The 24,794-nt window shown below is 38.1% G+C and overlaps 1 protein-coding gene across 16 annotated transcripts in view; it reads left to right on the top strand.

Moving 5' to 3' along the window:
* Positions 1-24,794, top strand: part of SEM1 (SEM1 26S proteasome subunit) — a 228,221-nt gene that overhangs the window by 55,172 nt on the left and 148,255 nt on the right. For 3 of the 16 annotated variants that reach the window (NR_163950.1, NM_001393904.1, NM_001393901.1), the window contains one exon: positions 17,369-17,435. The exons of 4 other annotated variants lie outside the window; for them this stretch is intronic. Coding sequence is in view for 6 of the 12 variants with exons in the window: in NM_001393904.1 (NP_001380833.1) it covers positions 17,369-17,435 (67 nt within the window). In the remaining 6 variants the exon portion in view is untranslated. Of the gene's footprint in view, positions 1-836; positions 9,723-17,368; positions 17,436-24,794 lie in introns of those variants that run through there. 9 more of the 16 variants (XR_007060160.1, XR_007060161.1, XR_007060159.1 and 6 more) reach the window with 6 other exon arrangements.

Here is a 24,794-nt window from a genome sequence, read left to right as displayed (position 1 = left end):
AAAGCTTAGCCTACCCTACCTTAAGTGTGCACAGAACAGTTATATTAGCCTACAGATGGGCAAAAATTATCTGGCAACTCACTGGTAGAGTAGCATTTGCTCACCCTCCTGATGGCATGGCTGATGGGTGCTGTGGCTCACTGCTGCTGCCCAGCATTGTAAAAGAGTCCTTGCTAGCTCTAGAAAAGATCAAAATTCAAAATTCAAAGTATGGTTTCTATGAATGCCTACAGCTTTCACACCATCATAATGCTGGAAAACCATAAGTTGAACCATCATAAGTTGGAGACCATCTGTTTATGACATTTGTATCCCAGTCCTTGATTATACTAGGAGAGGGATGACACTTTCTATTGGGGAAGCTTCACAACTCCACAGCCCTAAGTTCAGCTCTTTCTACTCAAATCTGAAACTTGGCCTGGACTCTCATGTTGTAGAATTAAGTGAAAGGTGGAGACCTATGTCTTCTGTATCCATGAATTTTCCCTAGTGAACTCTAGTATGAGTACTTCTTGCCCAAATGTCATTGTTTGCACAACATTGAATAACTGTGAATGTGCCCTCCATTACAAATATAGGGCTTCCTTCCTTAAGTGCACTCTCATCATTGCTCTGCAAACCATTTAAACATACTCTTCTCTGTTCAGCTTCTAGCTGGATATGAATGTTTACAACTCTCTGTAAGTCTCCCCCTCAATCATATTCCCTCATTTGGGGCAGATGGCCTAGCTTCCAATTGCATAAAGAAATAGACACTATTAAGTATAATTCCCCGGCCCCCCAACAGACAAACATTTCTCTGTCGTTTGCCACTACTTCATTTTATCCTCTTTCAGAAGAAAAAGAGAGGACTGTGTTGTTAGGTGGAGGATGGCTTGCATTCCTGCCTTGTTCCAACGCTTACTAGCAAGCTGACTTCGGGAAGATTAGGTAACTCATCTCAGTTTCCTCATCTGTAATGCAAAGGTAATAATGATATAGATTAGTTATTGGGAGGAATAAATGAGAAAGTTGATTCTTAGCATAGTACGTGGCATTATTGGACTTAATGAACTTAATCTGTACAGGTTGTTATCAACTATCACGACTCTTCTCTAAAGTAAGTCCATTTGCCCTCCTGATGCCATTCCTCTTCCCATTGCTGGGTCCTGGCTACAACAATTACTTCTGTCCCACCTCTCTTACCACCCTTAGCTGAAATCACCTTAATTGCCTCCTGCCTGGAAAAGTAAATAATGTTTATTTGTTTATGTGTCTGGTTCCCTGTTAGAGTCTGAACTCAAGAGCTAGGCAATTATCTCTGTAGATCCCAATAAGTAGGTGAGCAATTTGTTAAATAAGTCAGATCTAGAAAACAGTCAGATTTCCTCCATTTTTTCCTATTAGGAATCTACCTTCCATTTTTTAAACAGCTGAATCTGATATCTGCCTTTTTTTGTTTTGTTCTGTGTTTTGACAGGCAGTGTACCACAGTTGTCTGCACATGGCTCCTGGAGACAGTGAGGCCTGGGTGGGAATCATGGCCTTACCATTTACTATTGTGTGACTTTGATCAAATGACTATTTACATCTCTGGTGCCTACATTTTGCACATATGTAAAATGGAGATCATAGTACCTGCCACCATAGAATTGTTGTATTAGGTCATGCATGAAAAGCATGTAGCTTAGTGCTTGGCACATTAACCCTGTCCACCATTATTGTTATTAGAATTGAGGAATCTCCAAAACCATGGTGCTGTAGCTACTAGAAAATCCAACAGATTGTGCTAGTGTGTCAACATTAATGGTTCTGTCAAAACTACAAAAAAAGTGGAAACAAAGAAAAGGGGGATCATTTTTATTCCGTTCACAGACTCTTCAATGCATGCTTGAGTGATTAACGATATGAGTGTGTGTTTTAATTCACACAATTAACTTTTCATTTCACATTCAAATAATTTGAGTACAAATTGGGAAAAACTGTACTTCATTCTTTGGGAAACATAACTGAAGATGAAAAAGAAAGTTTTCCTAAAGTAGCTTAGATTTCTTTGGGGTTTTAAATAGTATTATACCTAAAATCTATTATGCCTTCAAAGTTTCAAAAATTAATATTTGGTGACCATAAAAATTAAAATAATCCAAATAATGGATTGGATCATTTATGTAGCATATATCTTGATACTAGATAAATAAATTTTCTCTATTCTTTTTGTGTTGGTGATTATTTTTCTATGATTTCCCTCAATTTTTTACAAAGAAGAGAAGATACTTTATCATATCCTAAATATGCCCAAACTAGTTTACCAAAATATGTACAATATATATAGAATTCAAATAATTTGCATCCTTAATGTAGAATTAGTGGGAAAAACACACTCTCATTTAACAAATGGGCAACAGACATGAACAGGCAATATACAACAGAAGAAATACAAATAGCCAGTAAACACAAATAAAACAATAAAATAAAGCAATAAATATTATTTCAATATAAAGTGTTCACTTGACTTGAGTGTGCATTTAATTTTATTAAATTCTTCATGATTCAATTGCATTTAAATGAATCCTGCAGATGAAGAGACATTTTTATCTTTTCAGACAACATTATTACCTCAATTTTACATGCTATCCAAAGCAATGGGAAATAAAAGTTCAAAGAGATGGGAAGAGGTATGAATTACAATGACAAGTGGCAACATGTTAAATATTCAAACTGAGGGCCATCTGCTCTGCTCTAAAGCCTCTGAATAAAGTAATTTCCAGACTTGAGGCCAGTGCAATTTTTGACCCATGTTTTTGCATCTTAAAACCCTTTTGCAGCCAGGTGTGGTGACTCATGTCTGTAATCCCAGTACTTTGGGAGGCCAAGGCAGGCGGATCACTTGAGGTCAGGAGTTCGAGACCAGCCTGGCCAACATGGTGAATCCCCGTCTCTACTAAAAAATATAAACATTAGCTGGGTGTGGTGGTGCATGCCTGTAATCCCAGCTACTTGGGAAGTTGAGGCAGGAGAATTGCTTGAACCCAGGAGGTGGAAGTTGCAGTAAGCTGAGATCACGCCACTGCACTCCAGCCTGGGTGACAGAGCAAGACTCTGTCTCAAAACAAACAAACAAACAAAATCCTTTTGCCATCTTGCTCTTTATCAGCCCTGTGGGTTGAAGCTTCTTCTTCAGTCCTGATGATCACACATGCCTTTTACCTATGAATAGAGATGCTGCCTTTGACTCTGTCCTAGTTCTTGACTCTGCCTTTGGATTTTTTTTTTCTTGAGTCTACCTAACGTGAATTGCATTTGATAGTTTGGATATTCCAGAAAAACTTCCTCACATATTGTCTCCTAATTTATTTTAAGTATTAATAGTTATCTTTGAAAAATATCTTCTACAATTTTAATAAGATAAGGGAAATCATGATTTAAAAGAGTGTTTTTAATTGGAATCTTGAAGGAAGAGCCTAACACCTTTTCCAACATGGAATTTTAAGCTCTCTTGATCCCTAATTTATTACCACTGGCCACAAGAGGTGACATTTCCTACAAAGTTTAGGGAATTTATGGCAATACTAATAAGAACCAATCCTTGACTTGCCACCCACGTGCAGTTCAAAGCTGTTCTTCTGGAGAACATGGAGTCTGTGGTGTCTTAGACTACTGACTTTGCTGTTATTCATCCTACCCACCCTTCATTTTTCTCCATGAGTAACTGCTTTCCTCTTAGTCCTAGTAACCCAGAGGCACAGATGTCCAAAGACAACAGTCAGATGGAAATGTAAATCACAGATCTCCACACCTGAAAACACCATTGGCAAACTGAAAACCAGACTAGCTCTGGGAAGCAATTGCTATCAGATTGCACAGATGAAATTAACCTGATACACATGAAAAGGTCACTGTCTAAAGATATTTAAAAAAGAGAGAAATTTATATATTTTGTAAAGGATTGTTGCTGTTGGGCCACTTTTACATGGTGAGAGTTTTGGAGCTCTGAGTGTGTGTGTGTGTGTGCGCGCATCTGTGTGTGTTTCTGTGTGTTTGTGTTTAAATTTGGAACTTGGGGGGTTTCATTTAAATTCTAAGTAATGTCTTTTAGGGACCTACAGTGTTGTTGTTGTTATTTACAAATCTGTGTTTCTTCAGAATTTCTTATCTTTCTCTCCTTTCATGCTAAAGCTGTGAGAAAAAGCCCTGAGCTGTCTCCCTAAATGGCTGTGTCTCCTGCAGTGGCTTGGTACCATCAAGTCAGATGAAGGACACATTGGGCGAGGTGCCCATCTACTGCCTGGAGAACATGCCCAGGAGGCTGGAACCTGTTCCCTTTCAGAGATGAAATCCTGTCTTCTCATCAACTCACAAGACAAAGAGGACTTTTCTGACATCTAGCTGAAGGAGAGGGATTGTTTCAAGTCTTGTGCAGCGGAATTTCCCATAGTTTGTTCTGTTGATCCTTAGTTTTTCAAGATGCCCATAGGAAAAAATATTTTTGTGGTCAAGTCAGTTATGGAAACCTCTGCCTTTGAGCTATTTATAGCTTCTTAAGGCATATTAGCATGAACATGTTCTGAGACTTCCTGTGTTGAAAAGAAACTCTGTTTAACTTTGTTTAGCTTAGTGATTTCCAAATTTGTTTGACCACAGAACCCTTTTTTGGGAAACATTACTAATATTTCATGGAACTAGTGGGCTACAGAAAACACATGGGATATACTGATGGACGGTGTTAGGATGATGGATCAGATGGAGAGTGGGAAGAACAATGGATTTAAAGTCACAGACCTATGTTCAAGTCTAATCGGCTGTTTACCAAAAATGCAACATTTTTTAGGGAGATCTCTAAACCTCTCTCACTCTTGGTTTCCTCATCTAAAAATGGGAAATAATAATATTTATTACACAGGGTGTTTGTGGGGATGAAAGGACACAATGTGGAAGAACATGGGAGCAGGGCTTGGTTCAACTTCAATTAAATCAGACTCTTCTTGACAAGTAAACACTGGGACCAGATGACAATGGGATACTGGCACAGAAGTGATCTGCAGAAGTCTTGTTGCTGTCTACATACACATATGTGTTCCATGACTTCATATATTGTTGGAAGTAGCAGCTTATTGATGGCTTGGGGTATAGTTGAAAAGGATAGGGGCCCTTCTATAGCACCAAGTTGGCTGTCTTCAGTGTTGGTCAAGATTAGCTGTCTTAAAGTCCAAAGGATTGGACCGGCTAGATATTTTGTTGTACCTCAGAAAAATTATCTTAATTTCCTAGATATTTTGTTGTACCTCAGAAAAATTACCTTAATTTTCTACCCTCTCCAAATTTTTTCACCACAGAATATTTTTTTGGAGAAAAATTATCAATATTTTATGGAACTAGTGGGCTATAGAAAACACACAGGATGTACTGATAAAACACAGTAGTAAAACACATTGGTTTATGAATGATCTCTGTATTAAACCATCTGTACATATTGGTTTAATAAAAGTTCATTGCTAGATCTATCTGCTGAATTTCCATTCACCTTCATTAATGGATGCTTTAATTTGCAGTTCTCAAAAAGCTTTACAAATGAATTAGGGTAGACACAAAGCTGTGCCACCCAGAGCATCTTCAGTGATGTGCTGCACCCAATAGCGAGGGGGACTTTCAACAGAGTCCCCAGTCCTCAGCTCAGGGAGGCTCCACCTCTGTCGCAGAAAGCGACCTTATTGGACGTCACACCTCCTCAGGGTGGTTCACATCCAGTGACTGATCCAGGCAGGGGAAAAAAACATTGGGCCGTTTTGGCCCAATGTGAGAAAGCTCAGACAGCTGATATATGCTTCAGCACCACGCCCCACCCCTAGGTGAGTGGCCGAGGCTTTGTCAGGGCTGCACTGCAGTTTGATATGCAATCGTCTGCAAAAAAAACTGACTTGCAAAAAATTGCAGTTTGGTTTCTGCTCAGTCCTTCTTCTTTCACTTATTTTCACAAGTATCCATCCAAAATTCCTTCTGTAGAAGCCAACCTATACCCAGAGGTTGGTGCTTCGGCTCTATACCTCCTAAATACCTATTCGGTGTCTCTTGACTACAGTATTCTCTCTCTAACTTGACTGCAAGTTCCTTGTGGGCAAAAAATATATAGCGATTTCTATATGCCACAGTTTCTATGGTTGTGCCACAGATACAGAAGATAGCTGTTAAATACATTTTGAATGAAAGGATATTCCCTTTTTAAGATGGATACTTCCATTTCTGTACATAGCAAGTGGTCAGAAATTAAAAGTCATGTTAGAACTCGGGAAATTCTGTCAGTTTTTTCAGCTTTGTTTAGTGGCTCTTTCTGTGTCCACTTACACTGTGGAAATTTCTGGTATGTATTATGTTTCTCACTCCCTTCTTTTCCTCCTTTTCTTTCTATGTCCAGAACTAACATTGATGTCCAAAATTTCTCCACCTATATCCTGCTACTCCTTCTATGATAGTTGAAATGATATTTTTCTTTATGAATTGTTATTCACAGCAACCTTCTTGACTAATGTATTCAAAAATTGTGAATGCCATTTTCCCCTTAAATAGGCCCCTTTAGACAAATAACTGCTAAGCATTTTTCCCTGTGAATATGTAAATAGGTTAAAAACGAAGATGCAGCCAGTGTTGTGTGAATATTATTCCAACATTACACTTAAGATCCTTTCAGCACCATTTGCTAACATTTTGTACTCCTAGCCAAAGTGCCAAAAATTGCTCTCTCCTCATGTAATTTTCAAAAATTTCACTGGCACAAAATGAAGTAAAATCTCTATCTGCAGGAGAGAGCAAACTTCATTTAGCGTGTTTTACAAAGTGCTAAATAGGTTTTCTATTTTGGGAGTGGAGTAGCAGAACGTGAGCTTCCTGCTCTCCTGATCAAACATTTGCAATTCTGTTTCTGCACAGATTGCACATTTCAGGTTGTCTTTGGCTATATTAACATAAGACTTGTTGTTTTATGCAAAAGAAAAGAAATACAATTACAATGTGTTCATGGGATGTAATATCAGTTCTGGAAGGTTATTTTTCCTTGTCTTTAATGTTTTTATTATTTAAGATAAAATAGTGATTAGAGTCCCTGCAAGAGGCTTTTGTATTCAACTGGTTTCAGAGTAAGAGCTCTTATTTGCTATCTTCTAGGGCACCATCCAAAAGAAAACGGCCATGTTCTCACTGATGAGATATTTAGGATACCGGATCGCTAGCATCCTTTCAAGTAGCCCATTATATCCATGTCTCAAAGAAACCATACGTAACTATTTGCTGGATATATTTTCTAAGAGAAAAGTACTTGTCTCATAATATGATAAGAATAATAATTATAGCTAAGATTTATTGATTGCTTATATATTCCAAGCACTATATGACATGCATGATCTCATGGAATTGTCACAACTGCCCTCTGAGTTAGCATCTATTTGATTTGACTCCAGACCCTGAGTCCTGTACCACTTGGCAATACCATCTCTCACGTAAAGAGAGCATGCAGTGCTATACCTCACCTCCCTAGTAGAATACCGTTTAGTTCATAAGTAAACTTGACTGAGAGAACATGGAAACAGAGTTAGGGAGGTGGCTGCAGAGCACACCAGAGACCGAAACATATTACTGCTTTGTAAACTTCTCAATATTTGCACCATAAAACACATATGCTTAGAGTATTTACACACTTCTCCAGCTTTTCTCAATGCTTAATATGTGGATATATTTAATATCTAACTGTAGTTTGAAAGGAGCAAACATTCCTTCAAAACCAATGAAGGCTGGAGGATTGACCTAGGCAATTGATTTTTGAAGAGTAATGATACTAGTGAGCATTAGCCCTTTATAGATATCTGCTAATTCACCCTCTCAGAAGCTATTAACAAAGAAAGAAATAAACTCTGTGACTCTTACATGGGGATCCAATTGTATCTTTAATCTCACATAGCTATCTCTCAAGTATATATCACCATTGTGTGCAAGTATCTTAAAGTTGTGTTGCACATATCACCTGGGGAGAGGATGGCAGTCGGAGGTGGGAGTGGGAGTGGGAGTGGGCAAACAACTTCACTGAGGAATCCAGAGAACTATGCCTTGCATATTATAGACAGCCAGCATATCTGGTCCCTGTTTCCAAAAAATCTTACATGTATAGTTTGTATATTTAAAAATCTAAGCTTTTGGAAGAGAAAAAAACTCAAGACAATATATAGGATAACTAAAATAATATGTGACCCAAACAGTAATAACTACCAATTCAGAGGAAAGAGAAACATCACTGTGGTCCCAGAACATAAGAGAAACTTTGAGCTGGACTTTTAGGAATGAGCAAGATTTGGATAAACTAAGTAGTTAAGAGGTCAGCAAAGTTGTTCTGTAAATGACCAGATAGTAAATATTTCAGGCTTTGTGGGCCACATATGATCTCTTTTGAAACTACTCAACTTTACCATTGTAATAAAAAGTAGCCATAGACATATTAGGTAAGTGAATGGGCTGGGTTATGTTCTAATAAAACTTTATTTACAAAAAAGAAAAAAGGCTGCAGGCTGGATTTGTCATGCAGGCTATAGTTTGCTGACCCCTGGTACAGACCATGGAGAAGTACATCTTAGGAAAGAGGTACTCTCAAAGGAATAGGGAGGGATATATATCTGGGACAATGGAGAATGGGAAAGACATGATGAATCAGTGAAACATAATGTATGAAAGAAACTATACATGACTAAATATTCATGGAATATATTTTCTTCTTGTGGAAGGTAGACACAGCATCATCTCTACCCATAAAAGATGGCATTCTGCAAGACTGAGAAGATGCCCACCTCCATTCCCAGAGTCCAGGCCTTCATTAACTCACACGAGAACTACAGAAGCATCACCCCTAGTTCTCCTATTAGTCACTCCTCCTCAACTGCCTCTAATCCATCCATCCATCTATCCGGCATGGGTCATGTAAAGTTACAGCTGAGAAGGTACTCCCTCTCTTAAACTCATCGGGGCTCCATGTGGCTTCAAGATTGAAAATAAAACTACTGTGTATGGTATATAAACTTAAGCTCTCAAGAGTGTGCCCACTCCCTGTGCTCCAGTCATGGAACACTCTTTGCAGTTCTTTGAGCATGCTCCGGTCTCTCTTTCATGCTTTATATAAGCTGTCCTCTTTTATTGGAACATACTTCCTTCCCATCCTGCCCCCAACACCCAACTTGTCTACCTGAGGAGCACTTAGTCATTGTTAAAGACCCAGTCCAAGTTTTTCCTCCTTGGAAATACTTCCCTGACCTACTTTGTCTGGGGTTTGTGCCCGCTTTCCTGTTTCTAATGTTCCCTGAACCTACCTCTACAGTAGCAACCATATTCCATTATACAGTATTTACTTATTGACCCATCCCTCTTCCCTGCCAGACCTTGAACTCCCTGAGGGCAAAAACCTTCCCATTCTCAATCTCTGCCACCTAACATGGCCTGGCAGTTTACGAACGAACAAATGCTTAAATATTAACTTATTGATCATTGAATGAATGAATGAATATCTAAATCCTGTTGTCTATTTTTAAACACAGGGACAATTCTCATATAGTCTAACATCTGTATGATAAAAAGTATAAAGATGGCATTAAGAAAAACAGAAAGAATATGTACCAGAAAGGCTTAATAATGGTTATTACATTTCTTAAAATATATTTTCTATGTTATAAATGTACTCATTTTATAATAAAAACCTCAATATAAGATAAATAGTATATAAAAACTCTTGGAATCTGATTTAAAAAACTCTTGGAATCTGACTGGTGTGAAGCAGGTTCACCATGCACCTGTCACTCTACTTGAATGAGTCTGGTGAGACAGAATACTCACACAAGTTAATCGATCTTCTTATCTATTACACACAGAGGAGAAGATGGATAATAGAAACCTAGCATTAAGGTGGGCTGGTGCCCAACTTTCAGGAAAGCTGTCCAGGATGAACAGAGTCTTGTCTGTGAGTGCTCCACGTCACACTGCAACTGAGGGACCCTGAAAGCATTCTGCCCTGGGTTTTATACCTTGGGGGAAACTGGGTGCACAGAGCTAAAGCTTTGCAGAAAATCCTGTTTAGAATAGATAGGAACAGAGCCCGGGCTGTTCTGAACAGTCCCTCCTTATTTCAGAATGTTATATTCCCAGCACATTTTACAGTTATCCTGAGCAGGAGGAGACCTGACCTCTTGCAGTTGACTGTCATGAGGTAGCCTCTTCCACCTTCCCCCTTTAATGCTATGAAGACAGAAAAATACATAAAAATAGCAAGACAGGAAACCAAACCTTACAGAAGATCTATTGCCAGAATCTGGGAGCACTCTTTGGAATCTACAAGGCTGATAGAACTTGGTCAAGATAATCCAAACTTCTGATTGTTTGCATTCCCAAACTTTGCTTCATGAAACAGCTCATAACCCAGAGAACCAGAACTTGCTCCAACAAAAAATTATGGAATCCCACCTCCACCACACAGTTGCTGCTTTTGGAGGCTTTCTGAGCATGTCTAAACTGCCTTTCATCCTTCCACGTCATTTAGAGGAGCAAACCCCAGAGAACAAGCCAGTAAAGCAAGCCCCAGAGAACAAGCCAGAACAAGCCAGTAAAGGGTTACACCTAATGGCAAGTTACATCCTTGGAGGTAAAGTTGTTACAAAGTGATGGTGGGGACATAGACTGTGAAAAGTTGGGAATGGGCTTGGGGCAGGCTCCACTCAGGCTTCTAGATGGAGATTTAAATATTTGCAGTTAATAAGGAGAAGAAAGTGGGCAAAACAAAATCCTTTATTTTCAAACACAACCTCTTTATTATTCTTATCTTACTTAAAGATAACTAAATTTAATGCTATCCCTCCACTAACCCCCCACCCCCTGACAGGCCCTGGTGTGTGATGTTCCTCTCCCTGTGTCCATGTGTTCTCATTGTTCAACTCCCATTTATGAGTGAGAACATGCGGTGTTTGGTTTTCTGTTCTTGTGTTAGTTTGCTGAGAATTATGGTTTCCAGCTTCATCCATGTCCCTGCAAAGGATGTGAACTCGTCCTTTTTTATGGCTGCATAGTATTCCATGGTGTATATGTGTCACATTTTCTTTAGCCAGTCTATCATTAATGGACATTTGGGTTGGTTCCAAGTCTTTTCTATTGTGAATAGTGCCGCAGTAAACATACGTGTGCATGTGTCTTTATAGCATTAGGAGAAATACCTAATGTAGATGACAGGTTGATGGGTGTAGCAAACCACCATGGCATGTGTATACCTATGTAACAAAACTGCATGTTCTGTACATGTACCCCAGAACTTAAAGTATAATAAAAAATTAAAAATAAATAAAAATAAAGAAAATATGGTACGTATACACCATGGAATACCATGCAGCCATACAAAAGAATGAGATCATGCCCTTTGCAGGAACATGGATGGAGCTGGAGGCCATTATCTTTAGCAAACTAAAGCAGCAACAGAAAACCAAATACTGCACGTTCTCACTTATAACCTGGAGTGAAATGATGAGAACACATGGACACATATGTGGGAACAACACACACTGGGACCTATTGGAGGTTGGATGGTGGGAGGAGAGAGAGTATCAGGAAAAATAACTAATGGGTACTAGGCTTAATCCATGGGTGATGAAATAATCTGGACAATAAACCCCTATGACACAAGTTTACCTATGTAACAAACCTGCTCTTGTACCTCTGAACTTAAAATAAAAGTTAAATTTTAAAAAATGAAAAAAAGATAACTAAATTTAAAAGTCCAAATTAGGGCCCATAGAAACATAATGTAAAATTAGGGACAAGAAGTAGTCATGCTGAGGACTTGGAAGAAAGGAGACTGCTTATAACTGAAAATGACCAATTGTAGAATCCTGAGGAAAAAATTCAAAAAGTTGTTTAGAATTTCCAGTAAAAATGAAAAAAAAATGGCTTCTACAAAACAGTTAAAAGTAATAAGGAGAAAAGAGAGAAAGACAAAAAGTGACAGCAGGATCAGATATACAAGTAGATGAATCTGATGAGAAATAATTATTTAGTAGGATTAATATCCTACTATTATTACAGAAAAAAAATCATAGCTTGGTGCCTAGGAAATAAACTCAAAGATGCAAAGGACTAATTTGATAACTTTTCCTGGAGAGTTTAAAAAAAGAAACAAAGGTGAAACTATGAGAAAAAAAAAGAGGGAGACAGAAAACAGAAACTCAAACCAAGATAAACGCTACCGTACCTGGAGAAAAATAAAGCAATTTTTGAGGATGTAATTGAAGTAAGTTTTCCTGAGCTCAGAATATTTCCCATATGCAGACTGATATTCTAAACTAAAATCTACATAATTACAACCTGAAAATTTAAAATTCTATAAACTCTAGGTAGAATATCTGGTTATTCTATAAAGGAATTTAAAACAGGTGTCTTCAACCTTCTTCTCTGTAATCTACAAGTCAGTGGATCAATGTGTAGACTAGGAACTGCTGTTCAATAAAACTTTCTGCAATGATGAAAATGTTCTAGATGTGTGCTGTACCATATGGTAGCCACTACTCCTGTTGAGCTATGGAACCCTTGAAATGTGACCAGTGGACTGAATTTTCATTTTACTTAATTTTAGTAATTTTAATTTAAATAGCTCCATGTGGTTAATGCCACCCATATTGGACAGTGCAAATTCAGCATTTTGAGGTTAAGCTACTGTGACTTAGATTATTATTTCCGTCAATGCTTTCTTTCTCATGTGAAGGAAATAGGACTTTTTTGAGTATTCAGGAGCTTAGAAAATATACCACCTATTAATTTTGTTTGGAAAAAAAATCTTCAAAGATCTGTTCAAACCTTAATAAACATTAAAAAAAAGCACAAGAATAGGGAAGTTTTCTTATAATAGGCTCGATGGGGACTACTGAAAATAGGAAATGTGTAATGTAAAACTTAAACGTTAAAGACAATAGTCTGCCTAAATCTCCAAATTATGTTACCAAAACAGGCATGGCTAGGAAGTGGGGTAGGAGGCATGCTAAATTATTTGATTGTTTGTTTGTTTAAAGAGACAATCTGCATTTTAGTTAGACAAGAAGAAAACTATACAATGTGTTTGCACAGGTACATGTTGAATTTAAAACAAAATGTACCTTCTCTAAAAACTGGAGAAGACAGATGTAAAGAAGGGTATATTCTTGTGCTCAGGGAAAAGCTCCTAGATTTCCATTTCCATGCTTTCATTATTAAAGAACACAGAATTAAAATAATTTAAATAAGCACTAAACTCAAGAAGTTAAGTAAAATAAAGTAACTCTAAGAAAAGCATACACAAATATTAAAGCAAAAATAATTATATCAGAAAATAGAAAGATGGTAGGATTAAAATAAGCCTGAAAATTGTTTGAAGAAAAAAACTAATAGATAAATCTCTAGCTAGTCTTCTCAAAGAAAAGAGAGAATAAATACAGCTAAAACTATGAATGGGAAAGTAAATATAGTGTTTGATATAAAGTGGATTTATTTATTTTTATTTTTTATTTTTTATTTTTTTTCGGCTCCCTATTTTTAAGGAAAGAAAAAATACTACCTAAAAATATTGAAAAAATTGAAAAATTTTTAGGAAAGTATGTTATCAAAAATAACTTCTTAAGAAGTAGAACACTTGATAACCATAGAAAAACATAATATTTAAAAAAGTTTACTGGTAAGAAATGCTGGTCTTAGAAGTTCTGAGTGAGTCTTCTCAAACCTTCAAGTGTGAGATTACTCTAAGTTTTTTGTAAAGAAACCATATTTTTTAGAGCAGTGTTAGGTTAACAGCAAAACTGAAATGAACACACAGAGAAACCCCATGGTAGGGGTCTCTCCTCCTCCTCCCCCGACACATGCATAGCCTCCCTCATTTATAGCATCCCCACAGAGTGGTACATTTGTTACAGCTAATGAACTTCCAGTAACACATCATCATCCAAAGCTCATAGTTTCCATTAGGGTTCACTCCTGGTGCCCTACATTCCGTGAGTTTGGAGATGTATAATGACATGTGTCCACCATTATAGTATCTTACAGAGTATTTTCACTTCCCTAAAAATCCTCTGTTCTCCACCTATTCATCTCTCCCTCCCACTACCCCCTGCCAACCACTAAAGTTTTCACTGTCTCCATAGCTTTGGCTTTTCCAGAATGTCATATAGTTGGAATCATACAGTATGTGGCATTTTCAGATGAGCTTCCTTCACTTGGTAATATGCACCTAAGTTTTCTCTTTGTCTTTTCATGGCTTGGTAGCTCATTTCTTTTTAGCACTGGAAAATAGTCCATTATCTTTATGTACCACAGTTTATTTTTCATTCATCTACGGAAGGATGTCTTAGCTGTTTCCAAATATTTGCAAAATTATGAATAAGCCTGCAATAAACGTGTGTGTGCAAGTTTTTGTGTGGACATAAGTTTTCAGTTCCTTTGAGTAAATACCAAGGCATATAATTTCTGGATCCCATGGTAAGAGTATGTTTAGTTTTGTAAGAATCCACCAAACTGTCTCCCAAAGTGGCTGTTCCATTTTGCATTTGTATTCATTACAGCAGTGAATGATAATTCCTGTTGCTCTACATCCTCACCAGCATTTAGTATTGTCAGTGTTCTGGATTTTGGCCATTATAATAGGTGTGTAGCGATATTGTATTGCTGTTTTAATTTGCATTTATTTGACGATATATGATGTGGAACATCTTTTCGTATGCTTATTTCCCACTGTATATCTTCTTTAGTGAGATGTCTGTTGAGGTCTTTGGCTCATTTTCAAATCAGGTTGTTTATTTTCTCATTGTTGAATAGGTGCCTTGTAGGATAACAGTCCTTTATCAAATACGTCTTTTGTAAATATTTTCTCCCAGTCTGTGGCTTGCCTTTTCATCTTCTTGACAGTATTTTACAGAACAGAATTTTTTTTTATTTTAATGAAGTTCAGCTTATCAGTTATTTCTTTCATGGATCATGCCTTTGGTGCTGCATCTAAAAAGTCATTACCAAACCCAAAGTCATCTAGAGTTACTCCTATGTTATTTCTAGGGGACTTATACTTTTACATTTTACCTTTAGGCCTGTGATCCATTTAAGTTGAGTTTTGTGAAGGTTGTAAGGTTTGTGTCTAGGTTCATTGCATTTGGATGTCCTGTTGTTTCAGCATGGTGTATTGAAAAGATTATCTTTTCTCCACTATATTGCCTTTGCTTCTTTGTCAAATATCAGGTGAATATATTTTTGTGGGTCTATTTCTGGGTAATCTATTCTGTTTCGTTGATCTCTTTGTCTATTCTTTTGCCAATACCACATTGTTTTGATTACTATATCTTTACGGGAAGTCTTGAAGCTGGCTAGTGTTTGTCCTCTGACTTTGTTCTTCTCTAGTTCTTTTTCATTGTTCGAAAGCATAGGGAATAAAATGAAACTTCCCTTTTAACTTCATTTTTAAAAGACCATATATTTTGATGCCAAATGTGAACAAAGTTGAATAATGAAAAAACTGGAGATCATTCCCAGTTCTAAATAAACATGAGATAACTCTGCAGTATATTAAGAGTACTTGACAAAGTGAAATTACTTTCAGGATTGAGAAGCAATTACAAACACATTGTTCTGGTTTTTTGTCAGGTGGTATCCTAAGATCTGCTCATATATTCATTCAATTTTCACAAGAATAAATTATATGGGTCCCATTATTGTGCCTCGTTTACAGATAAGAAAGTTCAAGTGTTGGGATATTGAGTAAGTTGTTCAAAGTCACACAATTGGTAAGGGCAGAGGCAGGCTTGAATCCAGGAAGTCTGGCTATAGAGTGACACTCTTACCACTAGTGATATTGCTTTTTATGCCAATAGATTACTGGAAGAAACCAGAGCACACATCTCAATAGTAATGAAAAAGATGTGTGATAACATTCAGAATCCACTCCTGAATTAAAAAGAAAGTGCTTACACTAGGAGAGAAGGTTATGTTATTCTTAATATTATAAAGAATATTTATTACTATGGGGAAATAATAATGGATTGTTGAGTGAAAAAGAGATACAGTGTATAAAATATGATTGTAATTATGTTACTAGATAGAAAATATATTAGATATAAGTCAAAGTTAATAATAAATGGGGAGATTATAAATGATTCTATGTCCCTTCACTGGACCTTTTCTATATTTTCTGAGTTTATCACAAATGCATTTATTTTGTAATTTTAAAAATATATATTGTTTAAAAAGCAAAGATTGCCCAAATAAAGAGAAAAATATGGTAGATCAAATGTAAAGTAAGAATTAGAAATCCCAAATAGACATTCATAGAGTATCCTTTGAGTTTCTCCAACAATAAGAGATTATTTTGTGCCCTAGAAGGTGGGAGGGAATTTGTGGCACCATATGAAAATGACAGAGCAAAGCGAGTGTGGAAGCTATGAAGGCAAGTACCAATTAAGTCTGAATTCTTAACTTTGGTCTTCTCCGAAAGGAGCTGAGAAAAGTCTTCATCACAAATCATCTTGAAACTGGAAGAATGGAGGAACGAGGTGAAGAAGGACTCATTAATAACTGAGTATAAAAACAATACCATGTAACATTATTTAAAAGTAGCAAACAATGGCTTGACCAAATCCAGCCATCAAGTGCAGGCATCATCTGCTAATTTGTTGTTCATTGGTAGCCATTAGCTCTGTGACAGGGTTGCTCTAGAAGTACACAAATGAGCTTGCCATTCTCCTTGGAAGCTCAAGGAAGGTGAGGGTGGGTAGAGAAGAGGAAGGCTGTTGAGTCAGTGAAAAAATTCTGAATAAGTCCAACAAACAGAGACAGCCTAAGGTGCATATCAGGAATCAGAATAAGAATTAGCCAGGGTAATAAGAGGGAAGAAGATGATAGCTAGTGAAGGGGAGTGCTTGGTTCAAACAGAGGCCATCTGTCCATACCCAAATGATTTACAGGCAGCAGAACAGTCAGACTAAAGGGCAGCCATTGGATAGGTGTCTCTTTCATCTTATGCAGAAGTACATTATCTTAGCATTTAAACTGAGAGTGAACTGGGCCCCTCATTATGCTTTGCCAAGAGTCCAATATCCTAACATTAAATGGAAAATAGAGTCAAGCACATCATCTGTTGGCATAAAAGTAAAGTTTAAAGAGAAATATAAGCATAAAAGCAGGACTTTCTAGCAATGAGAAGCATCTCAAGGGAAAACAATTTATATAATGAGAGTTGTAAGTACATACACATATTAAAAGCACTCAGACACCTTGCTTGTATTGGCTTTGGGTTATGAATTGAAGAAGACTGCAAAAGCTTGGGACACACCATTTGAGTGTTTCAGAGCTGAAATGAGAAGGACATTCTATTTTTGACCAGGGATATGGGAAACGTGTCAATCTCTGTGTGAGGGTGAAGAACGCACTGAGACAGCCAGAAGAGACATGTGAGTAATGCCACTGACATTTAAAAATCTTTTTCTGGGTCTAAGTATACCCTGGCAACTTCATGGCTTCCTGATAGAAGCAACGCAGTCATATATACCCTCTCCACAACAGATCACTTCCTCTACACCACTAGCCTAAGGACTATGTGGGGAACCAGAGACAGTGGCTAACAATAGCCTTAAACTCACTGTTTCTGTGTCAGATACAAGTAGAATTCTGAATAATACTTTCTTTTTCCTTTTATTCCTCCTTCCACTCAGAGAATACTTGCCTCAATTTTAAGGAGGTATCTCCATCTTCCACTGAGTCAGATGCAGAAATTCAGATCCTTCTCATCTTTGCAACATGCTATACCAGGTGGACTTTACCATGAGTAACAGACCAATCCAGTGAATCTCCAAAACCCACAGCAATAACAGGCACCATGTAAAACAGAGAGGAGTGGTGTCTCCATTCTGAAGTCTTCATTTTGTGGCTTCTTTCACTAACCACATTTCTTTAAACTTAATCAGAGCTAACCCTTCCCTAATTGGACTCAGACAAGCTACTTGAGCACTGGACACAAGACCCAGAAAGAATTCAGGGCTGTGAACAGCTGATTATAATTTCCTGTGGTGATTGAGACATTCACATGCAGACACACACACTTTAGAGATCCTGGTTATACATGTTACTTAGCTATTCTTTATTTAATTGATGAGTAGGCATTCCTGAGGGAAAAGGAAGGGGAGCTTCTTGGATTTTTCTCCATTTCTAACTTCACTGAAGAGCTCTTGGTGGTAACCATGGGTTGCTCACCATGTCCTGTGGATTTCTCCCACAGAGTGACTTAAGAAGGTACAGATTCTGCCTTACCACTCTAGTAACGTTGCTCATGATGACCCAGTCACCATGACCTTCCCTTTTCAAGTTATTTTCTTTTTTTCAGAGTTTTACTCTGAAACTCTGACCAGGAACCAGGAGTTATAAGCCCTTCTTTTGACTTCTCATAGGTGCCTTGTGCTCTGATTGGAAGACTCACCTTGCTTCACCTTGTGTTATATATCTTCCTTGACATTCTTATATTGCACACCTTTCCAGATGGTAGGAACCTGATGCAAAGCCAATAGTCTGTTGCACTGAATTGATTTAATTTGGTTTTGAGCCTAGAGGTTTGCTAAAATTGTTTGGTTTTCTTAAAAAAGACATTGATTCTTTTAATTAAACAAGAGTATATTATGGAAAAATTAGAAAAATGTATAACTACAAAATGAAAATACACATTATACTACCAGTTAGAGACAGATTTCTTATCTTTTTGAAGTATTACTTTCTTTTTTTCCTAAAATTTTAATCAATTATTTAATTTTTCCAATAACTAATAAATTATACCAAGGTCATTTATAAAATGATCATTCTCCCTGCTGGTTTGAACTGATTTTAGCAAATTGAAGTAATTTTTTTTCTATTACAATATTGGTTGAAATGTCACTTCAGTGACACTAAAAAGGTTGTCAAAAGTAGCTATCTCCACCTCCTTGCCTCTCATTCTAAAAGGTATTGCATACCCATCAGCTTCACCAAGATTGCTCTTTTCAAGCTAGGTAGTGCTCTCTATTTTGTTTGTATATTGCTTCAACTATCCACAGGATTTAGCACAATTGACTACCCCTTCCCTGAACTACTTCCTTCTGTCTGCTTCAATACCTGTCTGGTTTTTCTCCAGCCACCCCAGCTATCTTTTTCCTGTTTCCCCTGCTGCCTTGCTCCTTTTCTGTGTGTCCTCCAAATGCCAGCATGCGGGCACATTTTTAGGACTCCTTTGCCTCCCTAACATGCTCATTTGTGCCTTGGCTTTAAATATAATCATCGATTATTGCCCAACATGGATATCTCAAGCCCAACTTGCCAGGACACCAGATTTCTATAGGTTACTGCCTGCTTGTTACTTCCTCAAATCTCTGATAGACATCTAAAACTTACTATATTTGAAACTTTTGATTCCCCACACCCACCCCCATCCTGGTCTTTCTCTAGTCTTCTTAGTATCATGCACCCAGTTCTTTTAGACCATAACTAGGAATTATCGTGATTCCTTTATTTTCTTCAGTGTCCCAATTCAATCTTTTTGACTTTTCCTCCAAAACATATCCCAAATTAATTCACTTCCTTCCAACTTCACTACCCCTACTTTATCCTGGTCACTTTCATCTTTCCCAGACTACTCTGATAGGCTCCTGTCTGGGTTGGCCATTTCCATACTGGCTCTTTGTAGTTCATTCTACAAATAGAAACCAGAGTGATGTTTATAAATGACAAGTCAGACTGTCACTCCTCTGCTTTAAAACCTTCCATTATTTCTTTATTATACTTAAAAAATAAAATCCAAGTTCTTTATCTTGGGTACAAAGTCCTACAAAATCTAACTCCTGTCAACCTCACATATTCTCGCCCCCTTGCCTACTCTTCTCCACCATACTTCTTTCCGTTTCTTGACTACACCAAGCCTGATACTTTCTTTGAAAGGTTCTTTCCCCTGCATTTGCATGGCTCACTTCTTCTAGCCATTCACTTATCAGATTAAATGTCACCTCCTCAAGTCAAAATTATACCACCCTACATGAATTATCTTTATTTTTCTTATGTATTATATATATTATATACATATCTTATATATAATATATATATGCATGTATATGAGAGAGAGAAAAAGAGCATTGTCTGTCTCTCCAATCAGAATACAAAGAGAAACAGACTCTTGTCTACCATATTCACTGTTGTATCCTCAGTGACTAGAATAGTGCTTAGAGCATTATTTTTAAATAAATGAATGAATGTGACATAGGCTAGAATTTTATCTACACTTGCCTATGTTTTTGTTTCTTATTTTCTGTTCTAATGATCTACCTATTCTTTCATCAAACAAGTAAACAAGTAAAACAGAAATAGAAGACTCCATCTCAATTGCCATAGTTATCACATACATTTTAATATTTGATAGGGATAGCCAAAGTTCTCCCTTCTTACACTCATTATTCTAAACATTCCTGGCTAGTATCGCCTGTTTGTTCTCCAAGTGATCTAAAAACACACTATATATTTCTTTATTTGCTCAATTTTCATAGGTTCAGCATAAAGACTCTGTGTGTTTCTTGTTAAGTCAGCTAGTTTATATTTTTCTTGCTATTGTGAACAGCATATTGCTCACACAAGGAGAGATCATGCATTTAGGTTACCTACCTATCTTTTAAAGACATTTGAGTTTGCACCTCCTGATATATAGGAAAATTAATACTCGTCCATATTTATTTTCTATGTAATATTCACAGTGGACTTTTTCATTGGTTTTAGCAGATCTTCAACTAATTTTCTTTAATTTTCTAGGCAGTCTATTATATCATCTGCAAATAACAATCTTTTTTCCCTTCCCAAGAGTTAAGCCCTTTACTCCTTTTCCTCCCTAGTCTGGTTGCATTCAGTAGAACTACCATAACAATATTCAATAATGATGAGTATTCTTGCCTCATAATGACTTTTATATAAATGCCTCTAGTCTCCCTATTAACTATGTTGTTAAATGCTGGTTTTAGATAGATTACTATATTAAGAATGACATAACTTTCTCTCCTAGTTTAAAAGTGCAATATAAGTGTTTCTGGTTGCATAATATATAATGCTTTATATTATAATACATCCTCATTTATTACTTCAGTATGGAAATTATCCCAGGAATGTTATAATATTGCCTTTATCTGATAGGACATTAAATATTGACTGTGTATCCACTATGTTCAAAACATTGTGCTATTTTTAAACTCTGAAAATAAGTAGATTAAAAGAAGGTTTAAATGTGGATGTGGTAATCCAACCCCGTGTTTAATGCTATTTCAGTTCCCACCATCATTTACCAAAATGTTAGATTTGTTATTACAAAATACCAAGGCAAGCAGTTGCTACCCTATATATATATATATTTAGAACCATCATATTTTCTCCCTGTAAGCTATGTCTATTTTTCCTATGACAATTAAAGGTGTTTTTCCAATTCCTTCTTGCAATATCTTAAATAATGAGTCCTAACCTGGATGCATATGACAATTAGCTGAGGTTTGAAATATTCTGATGTTTGGGCCCTTCCCTAAACTAATTGAATCTGAACTACCAGGAGTGGGTCCCAGGCAATTTTATTATTGAAAAGCAACATTCAGCCAGTAGAGTCACTCAGCATTGAACCAAGCACTTTGTGTCTGGCCCTCCAAGAATTCAAGAAAATTAAAAAAACTCTACACCAGTTATTGTCAAACTTTGCTTAGAAATTAAGGGGCAATTAGAAATATCAGGGTGCATTTAAAAATTCAAGGTACAGGATTGGTAAGGGGCAGAGCAAGAAGGCAGAATAGAAGTCTCCACCGATTGTCCCCCAACCCCTGCAAACACACTAATCTAACAACTGTCTGCCAAAAAAAAAAAAAAAACAAAAAACAACAAAAAAAAACCACCTTCATAAGAACAAAAAATCAGGTGAGCATTCACAGTACCTGTTTTTTTAAAATTATTATTATACTTTATATTCTGGGATACATGTGCAGAATGTGCAGGTTCGTTACATAGGTATACACGTGCCATGGTGATTTGCTGCACCCATCAACCTGTCATCTGCATTAGGTATTTCTCCTAATGCTATCCCTCCCCTAGTCCGCCACCCCCTGACAGGCCCCAGTGTGTGATGTTCCCCTCCCTGTATCCATGCGTTCTCATTGTTCAGCTCCCACTTATGAGTGGGAACATGCAGTGTTTGCTTTTCTGTTCTTGTGTTAGTTTGCTGAGAATGATGGTTTCCAGCTTCATCCATGTCCCTGCAAAGGACATGAACTCATTCTTTTTATGGCTACATAGTATTCCATGGTGTATATGTGCCACATTTTCTTTATCCAGGCTATCACTGATGGGTATTTTGCTTGGTTCCAAGTCTTTGCTATTGTGACCAGTGCCACAATAAACATATGTGTGCATGTGTCTTTATAGTAGAATGACTTACAATCCTTTGGGAATATACCCAGTAATGGGATTGCTGGGTCAAATGGTATTTCTGGTTCTAGATCCTTGAGGAATTGCCACACTGTCTTCCACAATGGTTGAACTAATTTACACTCCCACCAACAGTGTAAAAGCGTTCCTATTTCTCCACATCCCCTCCAGCATCTGTTGTTTCCTGACTTTTTAATGATCACCATTCTAACTGGCATGAGATGGTATTTCCTTGTGGTTTTGATTTGCATTTCTGTTATGACCAGTGATGATGAGCATTTTTTCATATGTCCGTTGGCTGTATAAATGTCTTCTTTTGAGAAGTGTCTGTTCATTTCATTCACCCACTTTTGATGGCATTGTTTGTTTTTTTCTTGTAAATTTGTTTAAGTTCTTTGTAGATTCTGGATATTAGCCCTTTGTCAGATGGATACATTGCAAAAATTTTCTCCCATTCTGTAGGTTGCCTGTTCACTCTGATGATAGTTTCTTTTGCTGTGCAGAAGCTCTTTAGTTTAATTAGATCCCATTTGTCAATTTTGGCTTTTGTTGCCATTGCTTTTGGTGTTTTATTCATGGAGTCTTTGCCCATGCCTATGTCCTGAAAGGTATTGCCCAGGTTTTCTTCTAGGGTTTTTATGATTTTAGGTCTTAGGCTCCGGTTTTAACTTTATATCACTGAAAGAGGCACTGAAGAGGTGGTAAAACAGTCTTGAATCACCGACACCACCCCTCCCTCATCCTGTGACAGCAGTGGCATGGTGCAGAGAGCTTTTCTGTGCACTGGGGAGAGAGAGAGTGCAGTAATTATGAGGCACTGAGCTCAGTGCTGTCCTATTATAAAAGAAAAAAACTGGATGAAACTTAACTGATGCTCACCCATGGAGGGAGCATTTAATCCAGCCCTAAACAGAGGGGAATCACTGACCCCCAGCAGTCTAAACTTGAGTTCCCCGCAAGCCTTGCCACCATGGGCTACAGTGGCAGTCTAGGCCACTGGGACTACAACTCCTAGGCAAGCCCTAATGCTGAACTGGGCCCAGAGACAGTGATAGTGGGCTAAGCGGGGCATGTGACCTAATGACACATCAGTCAGGGGAAGCTAAGGGAGTGCTGGCATCACCATTCCCCTAACCCCAGGCTGCACAGCTTGTGGCTCCAAAAGAGACCCTTTCCCTCCACTTGAGGAGAGGAGATGGAATAATGTGGAAAACTTTGTTTTGCATCTTGGATAAGCTCAGCCACAGCAGGATAGGACATCAGTCAGAGTCATGAGGTCCCCTTTCCAGGCTGTAGCTCCTGGACAACATTTCTATACATACCTGAGACCAGAAGAGAACCCACTGCCTCGAAAGGAAGGACCTACTCCTGGCAGGATTAATTATCTCCTAACTAAAGAGTCCTTGGGTCCTGAATAACCAGCAGTAATAGCCAGGTATCATGGCAAGGGCCTTGGGTGAGCCTCTGAGACTTGCTGCCTTCAGGTGAGACTCAGCCTATTCCCAAATCTGGTGGCTAGGTGGCAAGATGCCTTTCACGTGAAGAACAGAGGATGGAAAAGTAAAGGGGACTTTGTCTTGCACCTTAGGTGCCACCTTGGCTACAGGGGGATAGAGCACCAAGAGGACTCTCAGGGTCCCCAATTCCAGGAGTTGGCTCTTGGATGGCATTTCTGGACCTGCCCTGGGCCAGAGGGGAGCCTGTTCCCCTGAAAAGTGAGTCCCAAACCAGGCAGCATTCACCACAAGCTGACTGAAGAGCTGTTAGGCCCTCAAGGAACATCAGAGGTAGTCTGGCAGTACTCCTCATGAGCCTATGGTAGTGTGGCCACAGGGTGAGGCTCCTCTCTGTTTGGAAAGGGGTGGGAAGAGTGGGAAGGACTGTGCCTTGTGGCTTGAGTGCCAGCTCAGCCGCAGCACACTAGAATACCACGTAGAATTCTAAGGTTTTTGCTTTTAGTTCTTAGCTCCCAGATGGCACTTCTGGACCTGCGTGGGGAGTGGAGGAACTCACCACCTGAAAGGAAGAACACAGGCCTGGCTGGCTTTACCACCTGCTAAGTGTAGAGCCCTAGGGCCTTAAGCGAACATAAGCTGCAGCCAAGGACTGGTTATGGTAAGCCTTGGGCAACACCCAATGCTGTGGTGACTTTGGGTCTGATCCAGCACAGTGCTAGTGGTGGTGGCCACAAGGGTGCTTGGGTCACTCCACTGCCAGCTCCAGGTGGCTCAGAACAGAGAGAGAGGCTCTGTTTGGGAGAAAGTAAGGAAAGAGAACAAGAGTCTCAGTCTGGTAATCCACAGAATTCTTCTAAATCTTATCCAAGACCATCAAGGCAGTACCTCTATGAG

This window comes from Homo sapiens, chromosome 7 (assembly GCF_000001405.40).
Source record: "Homo sapiens chromosome 7, GRCh38.p14 Primary Assembly".
NCBI lineage: Eukaryota > Metazoa > Chordata > Mammalia > Primates > Hominidae > Homo > Homo sapiens.
This window is presented reverse-complemented; position numbering and strand designations above follow the sequence as displayed.